Raw genomic sequence first — 13,955 nt, forward strand, 5'->3', positions numbered from 1 at the left:
CAAAATGTTCAAGAAGCCGCACAAAATACCCTCTTTTTTTTTTTTTAAGTAAAAGCTTATTGCCCATTCCTTAATCTGAAGAAAAGGACTATTTATAGATAGTGAATCAAATACAAGCATTTGCCTTGTATAAACCCCACTAAAATGGCAGTAAAGGCATACAGCTCCAAGAACAAAGAGAATGGGAGAAAAGATACACGACATTTTGAAAGTTGGCTAATAAGTATCTATTTTGGCAGATGATACCTTATATAAATTTCAAGCCTCTTCATATATTTTCCTTTTTTATTAAAAATTGCTAATTATGAAAAATTCAAGACTGGTATAATCTGGACAGTATTGTTCTCTCACTACAGATGAAGTTTGTATCTACTTTTCTTTTTTTATTTTCTAGATTGAGTCTTACTCTGTCTCCCAGGATGGAGTGCAGTGCCGCGATCTCAGCTCACTGCAACCTCCACCTCCCGGATTCAAGCGATTCTCATGCCTCAGCCTCCCGCGTAGTTGGGATTACAGGTGCATGCCACCATGCCCAACTAATTTTTGTATTTTCAGCTGAGACGGGGTTTCAATCATTCTGATATCTTTTAAATAAAATATTTATTTTATATCTCTTTTTAAATCTAACAAACGAATATATTTATAAACTGGTAGCTTTGTTTGTTTTTTTCAGATGGAGTCCCATTCTGTTGCCCAGGCTGGAGTGCAGTGGTGCAATCATAGCTCACTGCAGCCTCCACCTCCCCAGGCTCAGGGCACCTCAGCCTCCCAAGTAGTTGGGACTACAGGCATGCCTTCACACCCTAATTTTTGTATTTTTGTTGTAGTGACAGGGTCTTGCTGTGTTGCCCAGGCTGGTCTCAAACTCCTGTGCTCAAGCAGTCCACCCGCCTCAGCCTCCCAAAGTGCTAGGATTACAGGCGTGAACCACTGGGCCCAGCTAAACTGGTGCTGTAATCCATTTATCCTAATTATTGTGATTACTGACACATTTAAATGAGTTATTTTCCCCCACTTTATTTTTTTGCTTTTTAGATTTCTTTTCCATACCCTTTTCTCTTCACTTCCTGCTTTCTATTGGATTGACTATGTTTTCTTTATTCTTTCTTTCCTCTATTTAGTATCCAAGTTTTACATTTTATTTTCATTCTTTAAATTGTTTATTTATTTATTTATTTTTACTTTTTTGAGGCAGGGTCTCACTGTGTTGCCCAGGCTGGAGTGCTGTGGCATGATCTCAGCTCACTGCAATCTCCACCTCCTGGGTTCAAGTAATTCTCCCACCTCAGCCTCCTGAGTAGCTGGAACCACAGGCACACACCGCCACACCTGGCTAATTTTTGTATTTTTAGTAGAGACGGGATTTCGTCATGTTGCCCAGGCTGGTCTTGAACTCCTGAGCTCAAATGATTCACCCACCTCAGCCTCCCAAAGTGCTGGGATTACAGGCATGAGCCACCTCGCCCAGCCTAAGTTGTTATTCTTAATTTTTATTATGCATTCTTAAATTATAAAGTCTAAAATTATGGCACTTCATGATTTTTGAGTTTTATGTTTTGCTTAGAAAAGCTAATCTCAGTTTCAAGAATAAAAATTATTTTTATTTTCTGTAGTACTTTTATAATTTTTGTCTGTACATTTTAGTAATTAACTCATCTATAATTCTTTCTGTGTAGGGTTTCAGGGAGGGAATCTACCTTTATTTAGTGTCCAAATAAATAACTAATGGTCTGAACACCTCTTATACTGTCCATTTCTTCCCCACTGATTTGAAATGTAATCTTTATTATTAAGTAAATTTCCATATATATGGATCTATTTTGATACATTCTACTCTATTCCAATCTATTTAGCTTTCCTTTGCCATTACTAAACTATCTTAATTACTCTTGTCTTTCTAATATCTAATAGAGCAAGTTCTTCCAGCCCTATATGCTATTCATTGCTCTTTAAAAACAGAAAAGAAAAAACTTTTACAATTGTCTGTTCTTGTCTATATTCTCTCTTCATATGTCAAGTTCCTATCCTCAATTCTCTCTTCATATGTCAAATTCCTATCAAGGTTTTGATTGAGATTACATTGAATTTAATGATTAATTGAGAGATTACCATAATCATAAGACTGAATATTATCATAAATTATATTATCTCTTCATTTATTAAAAAAAAAATTTTTTTTGAGACGGATTCTCGCTCTGTCACCCAGGCTGGAGTGCAGTGGCGCGATCTAGGCTCACTGCAAGCTCCGTCTCCCGGGTTCAAGCCATTCTCCTGCCTCGGCCTCCCAGTAGCTGGGACTACAGGTGCCCACCACCATGCCCAGTTAATTTTTTGTATTTTTAATAGAGACAGAGTTTCACCGTGTTAGCCAGGATAGGCTCAATCTCCTGACCTCGTGATCGCCTGCCTCGGCCTCCCGAAGTGCTGGGATTACAGGCATGAGCCACTGCGCCTGGCCTATTCAAAATGTTTTAAAGTGTCTTTCAGAAAATATTTATACTTTCTTTCTCATATAAGTGTTACACATTTCTTGTCCAGTTTAGGCTTTTGTTATTCTTATAAATGTAATTTTTTTCCTCTACATTTTTTCATTAGTTATTGTGGCATAAGAGCAGATACTGATTTTGTTTTCCTTATACGGAGCCATTTTATTGCACTCTCATTAATTCAAATTAGTGCTTCATTGGTTGTCTTAGATTACCTCTATTGCCTGTGTATATAATGATTTTTGTTGCTTCCTTTCCAGTATTTAACTCATTTCTATGTTTCTTTTCCATTGGCTAAGACCTCTAGAACACTGTTGAATAGCAGCAGTTATAGCAGGCATTTTTTGTGTTATTCATGAAAAGCCTTCTAACGTTTCATAATAAACTGTGATGTTTAAGTTTTTAAATAGATAGCCTACATCAAATTAAGGAAATTTCCTTTTCCTAGCTTACAATAGCTTTTATCAGGAATGGGAGTTAAATTTTATCAATAGGGTTTTCAGTATCTTAGAAAGATGATCTCTTTTATTATTTTTCTTTCAGTATACTGAACATATTCCTTAAGGTCAACCACAGTTGGATCAAACCTACTTGGTTAATTCAGTTCATTCAATTCAACAAATATTCATGTACTTAATATATGCCAGGCAGCTTTCTGGCCACTTAGCTTGTATTAAAGGAACTCACAATGATTCCTACCCTCATGGAGCTTATATTCTAGTAGATATCCATGATCTATTTTTTGTTTAACCTGTTGTTGAATTAAAATTGCTAATTTTTGATTTAATATTTTTATATTTACATTTATAAATGAGATTGATACAAGTATTTCTTTCTGTGCCATACTTGTTTGCTTCCCTTATTAAGATTTACCTTACAGAAATATATTGCAAATGTCTCATTATTTTCTATGCTATGGAAATGTGAAAGTAACAAATGAATTTGTCTCTTCTTTAGAGATTATCTATAACTTGCCCATAAAATCACCTAGACTTGAGACCTTTTCTTTCCTTTTTTTTTTTTTTGAGATGGAGTCTCACTCTGTTGCCCAGGCTGGAGTGCAATGGTGCAGTCACTGCTCACTGCAACATCTGCCTCCTGGGTTTAAGCCATTCTCCTGCCCCAGCCTCCCAAATAGCTGGGATTACAGGTTCCCGCCACCATGCCCAGCTAATTTTTGTATTTTTAGTAGAGACAGGGTTTCGCCATGTTGACCAGGCTGGTCTCAAATTTGTGACTTCAAGAGATCTGCCCTCCTCGGCCTCCCAAAGTGCTGGGATTACAGGTGTTTGCCACAGCGCCTGGCCTCTTTTCCTTTTTTTAATTAAAAAAATTTGTTTCATCGTAGTTAAAAAAATACATACAATTTACCATCTTAATAATTTTTAAGTGTACAGTTCAGTCATGTTAACTATATTGTGCTCTTTTTCTTCTTCAATAATTTTTTTTAATATCTTAGATTCCCCACCTCTTTTTGAGTCAATTTTGGTTTGTTATATACTTAGATAAATTTCACCCGAATTTTAAATTTATTGCTATAAGGTAATATGCAATACATTAGTATGCTTTTAAAATCTTCACTATTTCTGTGATTATATGTCCTTTTCATTCCAATGCTTTGTTGTTGTTGTTTTTGTTTGTTTGTTTCGAGACAGAGTCTCACTCTGTTGCTCAGGCTGGAGTGCAGTGGTGCCATCTCAGCTCACTGCATCCTCCGCCTCCCGCGTTCAAGCGATTCTCATGCCTCAGCCTCCAGAGTAGCTGGGATTACAGGCTCATGCCACCACACCCGGCTAATTTTTTGTATTTTTAGTAGAGATGGGGTTTCACAATGTTGGCCAGGCTGGTCTCAAACTCCTGGCCTCAAGTGATCCACCCACCTCGGCCTCCCAAAGTGCTAGGAAAACAGGCGTGAGCCACTGCACCTGGCCCTGATGCTATTTTTATATTTTCTCTCCTTCTCCATCTTTCTTTTTTTAATCAGACTTGCCAAAGATTGGTCTGTTTTATTGGTTATCAAATAATCAGATTTTTAGTACACTAATTGAGTGTGCCTTTTATTGTTTGTTTTTTATTTCATTAATTTCTGCTTTATCTCTTTTAATTCCATCCCCCAACTTTTAAAAGAGTTGTTTGTAATGTTCTTTGCCTAGCTTATTGAGTTTAATGTTTGGTTCATTGATTTTCAATCTTTTATGTTCTTTGAGTGCATTTCTAAAGCTATACATCTTCTTTTGAATGCCACTTTCTGTACACTATAGGTTTTGCTTTGTAATGTTTTCAGTATTGTCTTTAATTTCCATTTTGATTTACCCTTTAACCCAAGAATTCTTTCTTTCTTTATTTATTTTTTTGAGACAGAGTCTCACTCTGTCACCCAGGCTGGAATGCAGAGGTGCAGACCCTCCCTCCCTCCCTCCCTCCCTCCCTCCCTCCCTCCCTTCCTTCCTCCCTTCCTTCCTTCCTTCCTCCCTCCCTTCCTCCCTTCCTTCCTTCATCTCACTCTGTCGCCCAGGCTGGAATGCAGTGGCGCGGACTCGACTCACTGCAACCTCCATCTCCCAGGTTCAAGCAATTCTCGTGCCTCAATCTCCCAAGTAGCTGAGATTACAGGCGCCCACCACCACACCCAGCTAATTTTTGTATTTTTAGTAGAGATGGAGTTTCACCATGTTGGCCAGGCTGGTCTCGAGCTCCTGACCTCAGGTGATCCGCCCCCGCTCAGCCTCCCTAAGTGCTGGGATTACAGGTTTGAGCCACCGCAACCCGCCCCAAGAGTTCTTTTTACCTTACAAGCAGATAGTTACCTTTTTAGTTACCTGTTGGCACTATACATATTTTTTTCCTCCCACTCCTCCCTTTACACTCATTTCCACCCAGAGAACTAGTCCTCCACTTTAGGGCTGAGACTCCCAAGACTGGCCCCATCCACTGGGCTAATGAGCAGCATGCCCTCATTTCACCCTGCTCCTTCTTGTAAGAGTCATTTTACACATTTGTCTTTCCCACTTAGCTGAGGCCCTAAGGTAAGGAATTTAGAGATCTTTCCCACCACTAAGGCCCTAAGGTAAGGAATTCAGAATGTATCTCTGAATACATTCAGAAATGTAAGAAACTCAGTTTTAAAGCAGAAAAATTATATATCACTATGTCTATATAGTAGTTATAGCCAATGTCCCTAAACAGAAAATTGTCCAATGGTGCAAAGGAATTAGTAAGAATATCTATAATTTCTAGATCCACATTTCAAATCTCATATTAAAATAGATAACATTATTTGTTTTTAAACTAAATTCTTCATATAAAATACATTCAGAAATGTATTCAGAGATACATTTCCAACAATGATTCTCAAAGCAAAGTCCAGAGACCTTTGCACCAGCATCGCCAGTGGTACTATTATAAGTATATATACTGAGCCCCATCTCAGATCTATTAAGTCAGAATCTCTAGGGGGAGGGCTCAGGAATCTCCATTTTTAACAAGCACCCTCAAGATGAGTTTATTCTAGCACGCTGAAGTTTGACAACTATTTCTCTAAGTGATACCCTGATAAGCTTCAGTTAAGTACAGAGCAGATCAACTAGGTAAAAAGGTGTTAGGACCCGTGTCATATAAAGAATTTTAAAGGAACGTAGGATATTTAGTACTAAAAACAAACATAAAAAAGAATTGGTTGGCAGAACATGAGAGATGCCACTTATGTGAAAAATACTTTAGATTTATTCCATACAGTTTTTGGAGGGTAAGTTCAAAGGGTAGAAATTAGAAGGAGATAGATTTCCGCTTTAATGTAAGGAAAAGATTGCCAACAATTTGAGCTCTTCAAAAATGGAATAGACTTATTGTGAATTCGTGAGTTCACCCCTATTTGGACATAGTCAAGCAGATGATGAATGACTTTATGCCAGAGATGTTGAAGAGGGACTTTTACATCAAACTAGTTGATCACTACATTCCCTTGCAACTCAGGATTCTTAAGATTCTCTAATTTTAGGAATATGAGTTCAATATGGGTTATAATTATTATAACATTTTTCAGGTGATACTAGAAGCCCATTTCCTCATAGTCAAGGATGTAGACACATTTAGTGATTTCACACAATGTATATAAAAACAAGCCTGAGGCTAGGCACTATGGTTCACGCCTGTAATCCCAGCACTTTGAGAGGTTGAGGCTAAAGGATTACAAGATTACTTGAGCCCAGGAGTTCAAGACCAGCCTAGGCAACATAGAGAGACTCCTCCCCTACAAATTTTAAAAAATTATTCAGGCATGATGGCACGTGCCTGTAGTCCCAGCTACTCAGGAAGCTGAGGTAGGAGGACCTCTTGAACCCAGGAGGTCAAAGCTGCAGTAAGCCATGATAGGGTCACTACACTCCAGCCTGGGCAAGACCCTATCTCAAAAAAATAATAAAATAAAATAAAATAAAAACTGGTCTGAGTAAATAAAATCTCACCCAATTATATTTTTTTCAAATTTAAGAGTTTTTAAAGGTTTATTTTATTTTTTATTTTTTGAGATGGAGTCTTGCTCCATAGCCCAGGCTGGAGTGCAGTGGCATGATCTTGGCTCACTGCAACCTTCGCCTCCCAGGCTCAAGTGGTCCTCCTGCCTCAGCCTCCCAAGTAGCTGGGATTATAGGTGCACTCCACAATGCCTGGCTAATTTTTGTATTTTTAGTAGAGATGGGATTTCACCATGTTGGCCAGGCTGGTCTCGAACTCCTGACTTCAAGTGACCCACCCGCCTCAACCTCCCAAAGTGTTGGGATTACAGGCATGAGCCACCTGTTATATTACAGGCATGAGCCCACCACCTGGGGTGGTGGTGCACACCTGTAGTCCCAGCTACTTGGGAGGCTGAGGTAGGAGAATCGCTTGAACCCAGGAGGCAGAGGGTGCAGTGAGCCGAGATCACACCACTGCACTCTAGCCTGGGCAACAGAGCAAGATTCTGTCTCAAAAAATAATAATAATGATAATAATAATAATAAATAAAAATAAAGTTCAAGGATATGTAGCAAAGAAAATCACTTACAACAACCCAACATTATAGTCTGTCTATAAAATAAACACATCTACTCCTTCCAACTTCATAAGGGTGAAAAATAAGAGTTTAAAATATGAAGCAGAAACAAGATGTATTAGTTACCTGTGAAAATAGCTCTCTGATTGTGTGCCTTTAAATTGGCAGGGGAAAAAAAGAAACTCAGTTTTAAAACAGAAAACTTATATATCACTATGTCTATATACTTGTTATAGCCAACGTCCCTAAACAGAAAATTGTTCAGTGGTGCAAGGGAATTAGTAATAATACCAATAATTATTAGATTCAGATTTCAAATCCCATATGAAAATAAACAATATTATTTGTTCTTAAACTAAATTTTTTTTTTTTTTTGAGATGGAATCTTGCTCTGTCACCCAGGCTAGAGTGCAGTGGCATGATCTCACCTCACTACAACCCCCGCCTTCCAGGTTCAAGCGATTGTCATGCCTCAGCCTCCCAAGTAGCTGAGATTACAGGTGTGTGCCACCGTGACCGGCTAATTTTTTTGTATTTTTAGTAGAAATAGGGTTTCACCATGTTGGCCACGCTGGTCTCGAACTCCTGACCTCTAGTGATCTGTCCAACTCAGCTTCCCAAAATGCTGAGATTACAGGTGTGAGCCACCGTGTCCAGCCAGAAAACCTTTGTGGAGGTGCTGGGGATTGACCCAGGGCCTCATGCATGCTAAGCGTGCGCCCTACCACTGATCTACACCCCCTTTAATTCTTAACATCAGAAATATTATTCAACAGACACATATCAGAGTTGAGGGAAATTATTGGAAAATTGAGACCAAAAAAAGCATACAGAAAGTTAATTTATTTTCTAGACAGAACTCTGCTAGTATTAGAATCAAATACTTTTAATTAGATAGTAATTTACTTGCTTTCTTGTAACTTATGGCCATCTTCTCTAGTCTGTTTGTTACAGTCCTACACATATTAAATAGCAAAAACAAACTAATTATATATTTTGCATGATCAGTATGTTACAACATTAAGATCAGACTAATAATACAAGTCACCTACTCCATTGCCAATTTTTATACTCCCTGCAATCTTACAGCACATCCTCATATGAACAAAAAGCCTTTATATTTATCTTACAGAGGATATAAACATCAATTTATAAAAAAGAGACACAAGCCTTATATAGTTAAAAGTAATATAATTAACATGATTACAAAAACATTTCTAATAAAGCAGAGGAAATAATTATATTGCTTGTAGTTCTAGTAAGAGTTTATTGAACCATTAAAAATAATTTCAAAACAATAAAATACAAAGGCAAATATCCAAATAGTTTTGTATGGATCTAGCATTCACTTTTCCTTGATCCAACCTAGTTTTAATTCCTATGGCCTACAGGATGGCTTAGATAAGGAAGAAGCTAAAAATTGGCTGTTACAGAGTTGCAGTTGTGTGGCATATGGGTGATCTACGTAACTGAAGTTGAAGGGAGAAATGCAATCTTCCCCCAAAACCTGCTTTTCCTTCAGTCCACTGTCACAATCCTGAGTCCAGCTACTCTCTCAACATCTCCATCTCCCTGGCTAAAACCTCCCATCTCTCATCTGGGTTGTTGTAAAGCCTCCTAACTAACCTCACTTCTTTTGCCTTTGCCTGCTATGATTAATTCCCAACCCAGTAGCCAGACTGATCCTCTCCTCAAAGCTCTCCAGTGGCATTTTTTTTTTTTTTTTTTTTTGAGACAGAGTCTTGCTCTGTCACCCAGGCTGGAGTACAGTGGGGCGATCTCGGCTCACTGCAACCTCCACCTCCCGGGTTCAAGTGATTCTCCTTCCTCAGCCTCCTGAGTTGCTGGGACTACAGGCGCATGCAACCACACCTGGCTAATTTTTTTTTTTTTTTTAGTAGAGACGGGGTTCCACCATGTTGGCCAGGATGGTCTCAATCTCCTAACCTCGTGATCCACCCGCCTCGTCCTCCCAAAGTGCTGGGATTATAGGCGTTAGCCACCACGTCTGGCCTCCAGTGGCATCCTTATTCAAAATAAAAGTAAATATCCTAGGGTGGGCATGGTGGCTCACGCCTGTAATCCCAGCACTTTGGGAGGCTGAGGCGGGCAGATCACTTGAGGTCAGGAGTCCAAGACCAGCCTGGCTAACATGGCGAAACCCCATCTCTACTAAAAATACAAAAATTAATTGGACATGGTGGCAGGTGCCTGTAATCCCAGCTACTGGGGAGGCTAAGGCAGGAGCATTGCTTGAACCCGGGAGGCGGAGATTGCAGTGAGCCAAGATCATGCCACTGCACTCTAGCCTGGGCGACAGAGCACAGCTCTGTCTTGGAAAAAAAACAAAGTCAATATCCTCACAACTAGGTCCTACACCAACTATTCCCCATTTTCCATCTTCCGCTGTCAATCACTCAGCTACCCTGGCTGCTTTGCTGTCTTATGAACAGCCCACTCCCACCTCAGGGATTTAGCAATTGCTCTTTCCTTTATCCAAAAAACTTTCATCTGGATTACATGTATCTTATTCCTTTAACATCCTTCAGGTTTTTGCTCAATGTTCATTTTTCAGCAAATGATTCCCTAACCACCACATTTATAACTGCAAACCTTATGCATCTCAACACTCCCCCCAACCTCCTTCTTTAAACTTGTTTTTGCTCTATAGAACTTACTACCACATGATTACTATATATTATGCTTATTTTGTGTACTGTCTGATTGTCCTCACTAGATTGTAAGAGAGATTAGGGATTTTTGTCTGTTTTTTTCAATCCCATATTTCCATGGCTAGCACCTAATAGGTATTCAACAAATGCTTGTTGAATATATGAACATCCTCTATAAATCCTCTAGTAACCAGTGTCAAGAACTACATGCCTATGTAGGTGACCCAAACACTTCCTCTAAGAACTGTATAGAAAAATAATTTCAGGCCAGGCGTGGTGGCTTATGCCTATAATCCCAGCACTTTGGGAAGCCGAGGCGGGTGGATCACGAGGTCAAGAGATCAAGACCATCCTGGCCAACATGGTGAAACCACATCTCTACTAAAAATACAAAAATTAGCTGGGCATGGTGGTGCGTCCCTGTAGTCCCAGCTACTCGGGAGGCTGAGGCAGGAAAATCGCTTGAATCTGGGAGGCAGAGGTTGTAGTAAGACAAGATCGCGCTCCAGCGTGCACTCCAGCCTGGCGACAGAGCGAGACTACGTTTAAAAAAAAAAATTCATTTAATTTAAACATCTTAATTAAAAATAGGGAGCATTCAATTAAACATTCACATAATAACTACACAATTATTCTCTTTACTTCTTTCCTACTTTAAGCCTTGATGCCATCACTACTTCCAGAAAAAAAAATAGTTCCTAAATATCCCACAGAAGAAAACAAGGTAATGTTAATATAAATACTCTGCCCCTACATTTATGCAGTCTTCCCTCATATTTTTGATAAATTCCACACCCTTCCACCAGAAGTTAAAGAAAGGAGACGTATCCTCCCACTTTCGGAAATGCTTTAACCAAAATTAAAGAGAGAATGAACAAGCTATCCGTAGGAACCCATTCATCGATAGAAAGGAAAAACATTTCCTAAGAAATGTCAGAGACAAATGACTCTGGATCTAACACCATTTGGGGGGTTTCATACCATTGCTAACACAGAGACATAATATTATTAGATTTATATTAATAAGGCTGAGTGTAGTGGCTCATACCTGTAATCCCAGAACTTTGGGAGGCCAAGGCAGGAGGATATCCTGCTTGAGGACAGGAGTTCAAGACCAGCGTGGGCAAAATAGTGAGACCCGATCTCTACACAAAATAAATAAATAAAATTAGCACAGTGAAAGGATTGCTTGAGCCCAAGAGTTCAAGGCTGCAGTGAACTATGATTGTACCACTGCACACCAGCCTGGGGAAGAGAGTAAGACCTTGACTCTTAAAAAAAAAAATTGTATTAATACACTACTTCCAGAAATTAAACAAGACATACACAGTATGTGGATATAAACAAAGAAAATGATTTCCATGTACAAAACATAAAACTCATAGATTAATAACTCAAGTTTCCTAGTCTATTTTCTTATTTTGTTTCATTAAAAAAAAAATTTGAGACGGAGTCTCACCCTGTCACCCAGGCTGGAGTTCAGTGGCATGATCTCAGCTCACGGCAACCTCTGCCTCACTGGTTCAAGCAATTCTCCTGCCTCCGCCTCCTGAGTGGCTAGGATTACAGGCGCCCGCCACCACACTCGGCTAATTTTTGTATTTTTTTTTCAGTAGAGATGAGGTTTCACCATGTTGGCCAGGCTGGTCTCGAACTCCTGACCTCAAGTGATCCGTCTGCCTCAGCCTCCCAAAGTGCTGGGATTACAGGTGTGAGCCACCATGCCCCGTCTACTTAGAGGTCTAGTAAACTTAAATCAGTTCTGAAGCTTTTCCAGACAGTAGTAGTAAAATACACTATAAATCAGATTACCTGGTTCTCAATTCAATGTTCTTTTCATTCTGTCATGCTGCTCTCTAAATTTGAGTGTTCTCTTGACCAGGAATTAAATTATTCTCTATATCTGAGTTGAAACTACTATATCACCAGGAAATAAAAAAGTCTAACTTCCCAATATTATTCCTAAATTAAATCGTGGTTAGTCAGGATGTTGCTATATACTTTTAATAATAACTGAAAATTGAAGCAGAAAAAACCCCAATTCACTATGACTTGTATATTTTGTGCCATGAACAGAGGAAATTGTCATTTACAGTATAATTTTCTGGGCATAGGCATGGATTCCGGTGTTCACATCCCCAAGTTCAAATCTCAGTTTTGTCACTTATTAGGGGACATTATCTTAATGTCTCTAAGCTTTTATTTTCCTTCTCTCTCTCTCTCTTTCTTTTTTTTTTTTTTTTTTTGAGACAGGCTGATTACAGGCTCGACCTCCTGGGCTCAAGCAATCCCCCTGCCTCAGCCTCCCGAGTAGCTAGGACCACAGGTGCAAACCACCACGCAATTAATTTCTGTATTTTTTATAGAGATGGGTTTTACCATGTGCTCAGGCTGGTCTTGAACTACTGGGCTCCGCCTTGGCTTCCCAAAGTGCTGGAATGACACAAATGAACCACCGTGCCCAGCCCTATTTTCTCATTTTTAAAAAAGAAAGGTTATTGTTTCAAAATATGTTGTACATGAGGCCAGGTGTAATGGCTCATTCCTGTCATCCCAACACTTTGGGAGGCTGAGGCAGGAAGGTAGCATGAGCCCAGGAATTCAAGACCAGCCTAGGCAGAACAGTGAGACCCCCATCTGTACAAAACTTTTAAAAAAATTCTCCAGGCATGGTGTTACGTGCCAGTAGAGGCTGGAGGGTCACTTGAACCAGGGAGGTCAAGGCTGCAGTGAGCCATGATTGCGCCACTGTACTCTAGCCTGGGCAATCCAGGGAGACCCTGTCTCAAAAAAAAAAGCATGCTTTACATGATAAATATTACAATTTTTGCCAATTAAAAATAAATATTTATCTCTCATATCCCAGGAAATCAAGTAAAAATAAATAAAAGAAATAAATGAATAAAATTTAAACAATAAAAAGAAGATAGCACTACTACTTATGTCTTTGAGTTGTGAGAAAAATGCACAGAAAGTACTTAGCACATGGCCTAACACATATATATATTCATAGTGACAGATACACTACTGTCAATTGCAGTCAGACATGAATGGAAATCATAATCAGATTCTCACCTTTCAAACTTTAGATGTGACTTCATAGTAATTCAACAAATCTTCCAAGTCCAGAACACCTGTTGATTTGAATCTTACAGCAATTACTTTTATCTAGTCTTTAAGAAATGAAAAAATAATGTAACAGCAAACTCATGCAGTGACTCAATAAATTTAAAGCCATAAACAGGCTAAATCCAACACTAAACAAGCATTTTGCAATCTATTTTAGCCAAAACAATGCATTTTCCCTCATTCACATAACAATTACTCAGTATGCCAGCTCCCAGTGTTACAGAGCCTGTTCTTGGTGATTCAAGGGCGCCCTCTGTCTGAGTGCTGAAAAAATCCAAACCCAAATTTAAAACTATGTAAAAACATGCTTTCAAGTAAATTCTTAATAAACAGTTCTATGAAATTGATCCTGTCTTTAATCACTGCTGGCAGATAGTCCTTAAAAAAAAAAAAGAAAAGAAAGAAAAAAACGGCTGGGTGCGGTGGCTCACGCCTGTAATTCCAGCACTTTGGGAGGCCAAGGCAGGTGGATCACCTGAAGTTAGGAATTCAAGACCAGTCTGGCTAACATGGTGAAACCCTGTCTCTACTAAAAATACAAAAATTAGCCAGGCGTGGTGGCAGGAGCCTGTAATCCCAGCTACTCGGGTGGCTGAGGCAGGAGAATCGCTTGAACCCAGGAAGCAGAGGTTGCAG

The 13,955-nt window shown here is 39.2% G+C and overlaps 1 protein-coding gene and 1 long non-coding RNA gene across 4 annotated transcripts in view; one reads left to right on the top strand and one right to left on the bottom strand.

Annotated features, from left to right (window-relative positions):
* The window catches only part of OTUD7B (OTU deubiquitinase 7B), a 129,842-nt gene that overhangs the window by 99,405 nt on the left and 16,482 nt on the right, over positions 1–13,955 (bottom strand). The gene's annotated exons all lie outside the window — the stretch shown is intronic.
* Positions 1–13,955, top strand: part of LOC124904413 (uncharacterized) — a 45,061-nt gene that overhangs the window by 24,754 nt on the left and 6,352 nt on the right. Inside the window, exon 2 of the long non-coding RNA XR_007066598.1 lies at positions 10,850–10,914. This is a non-coding gene — a long non-coding RNA (uncharacterized LOC124904413). The remainder of the gene's footprint in view (positions 1–10,849; positions 10,915–13,955) is intronic.

This window comes from Homo sapiens, chromosome 1 (assembly GCF_000001405.40).
Source record: "Homo sapiens chromosome 1, GRCh38.p14 Primary Assembly".
NCBI lineage: Eukaryota > Metazoa > Chordata > Mammalia > Primates > Hominidae > Homo > Homo sapiens.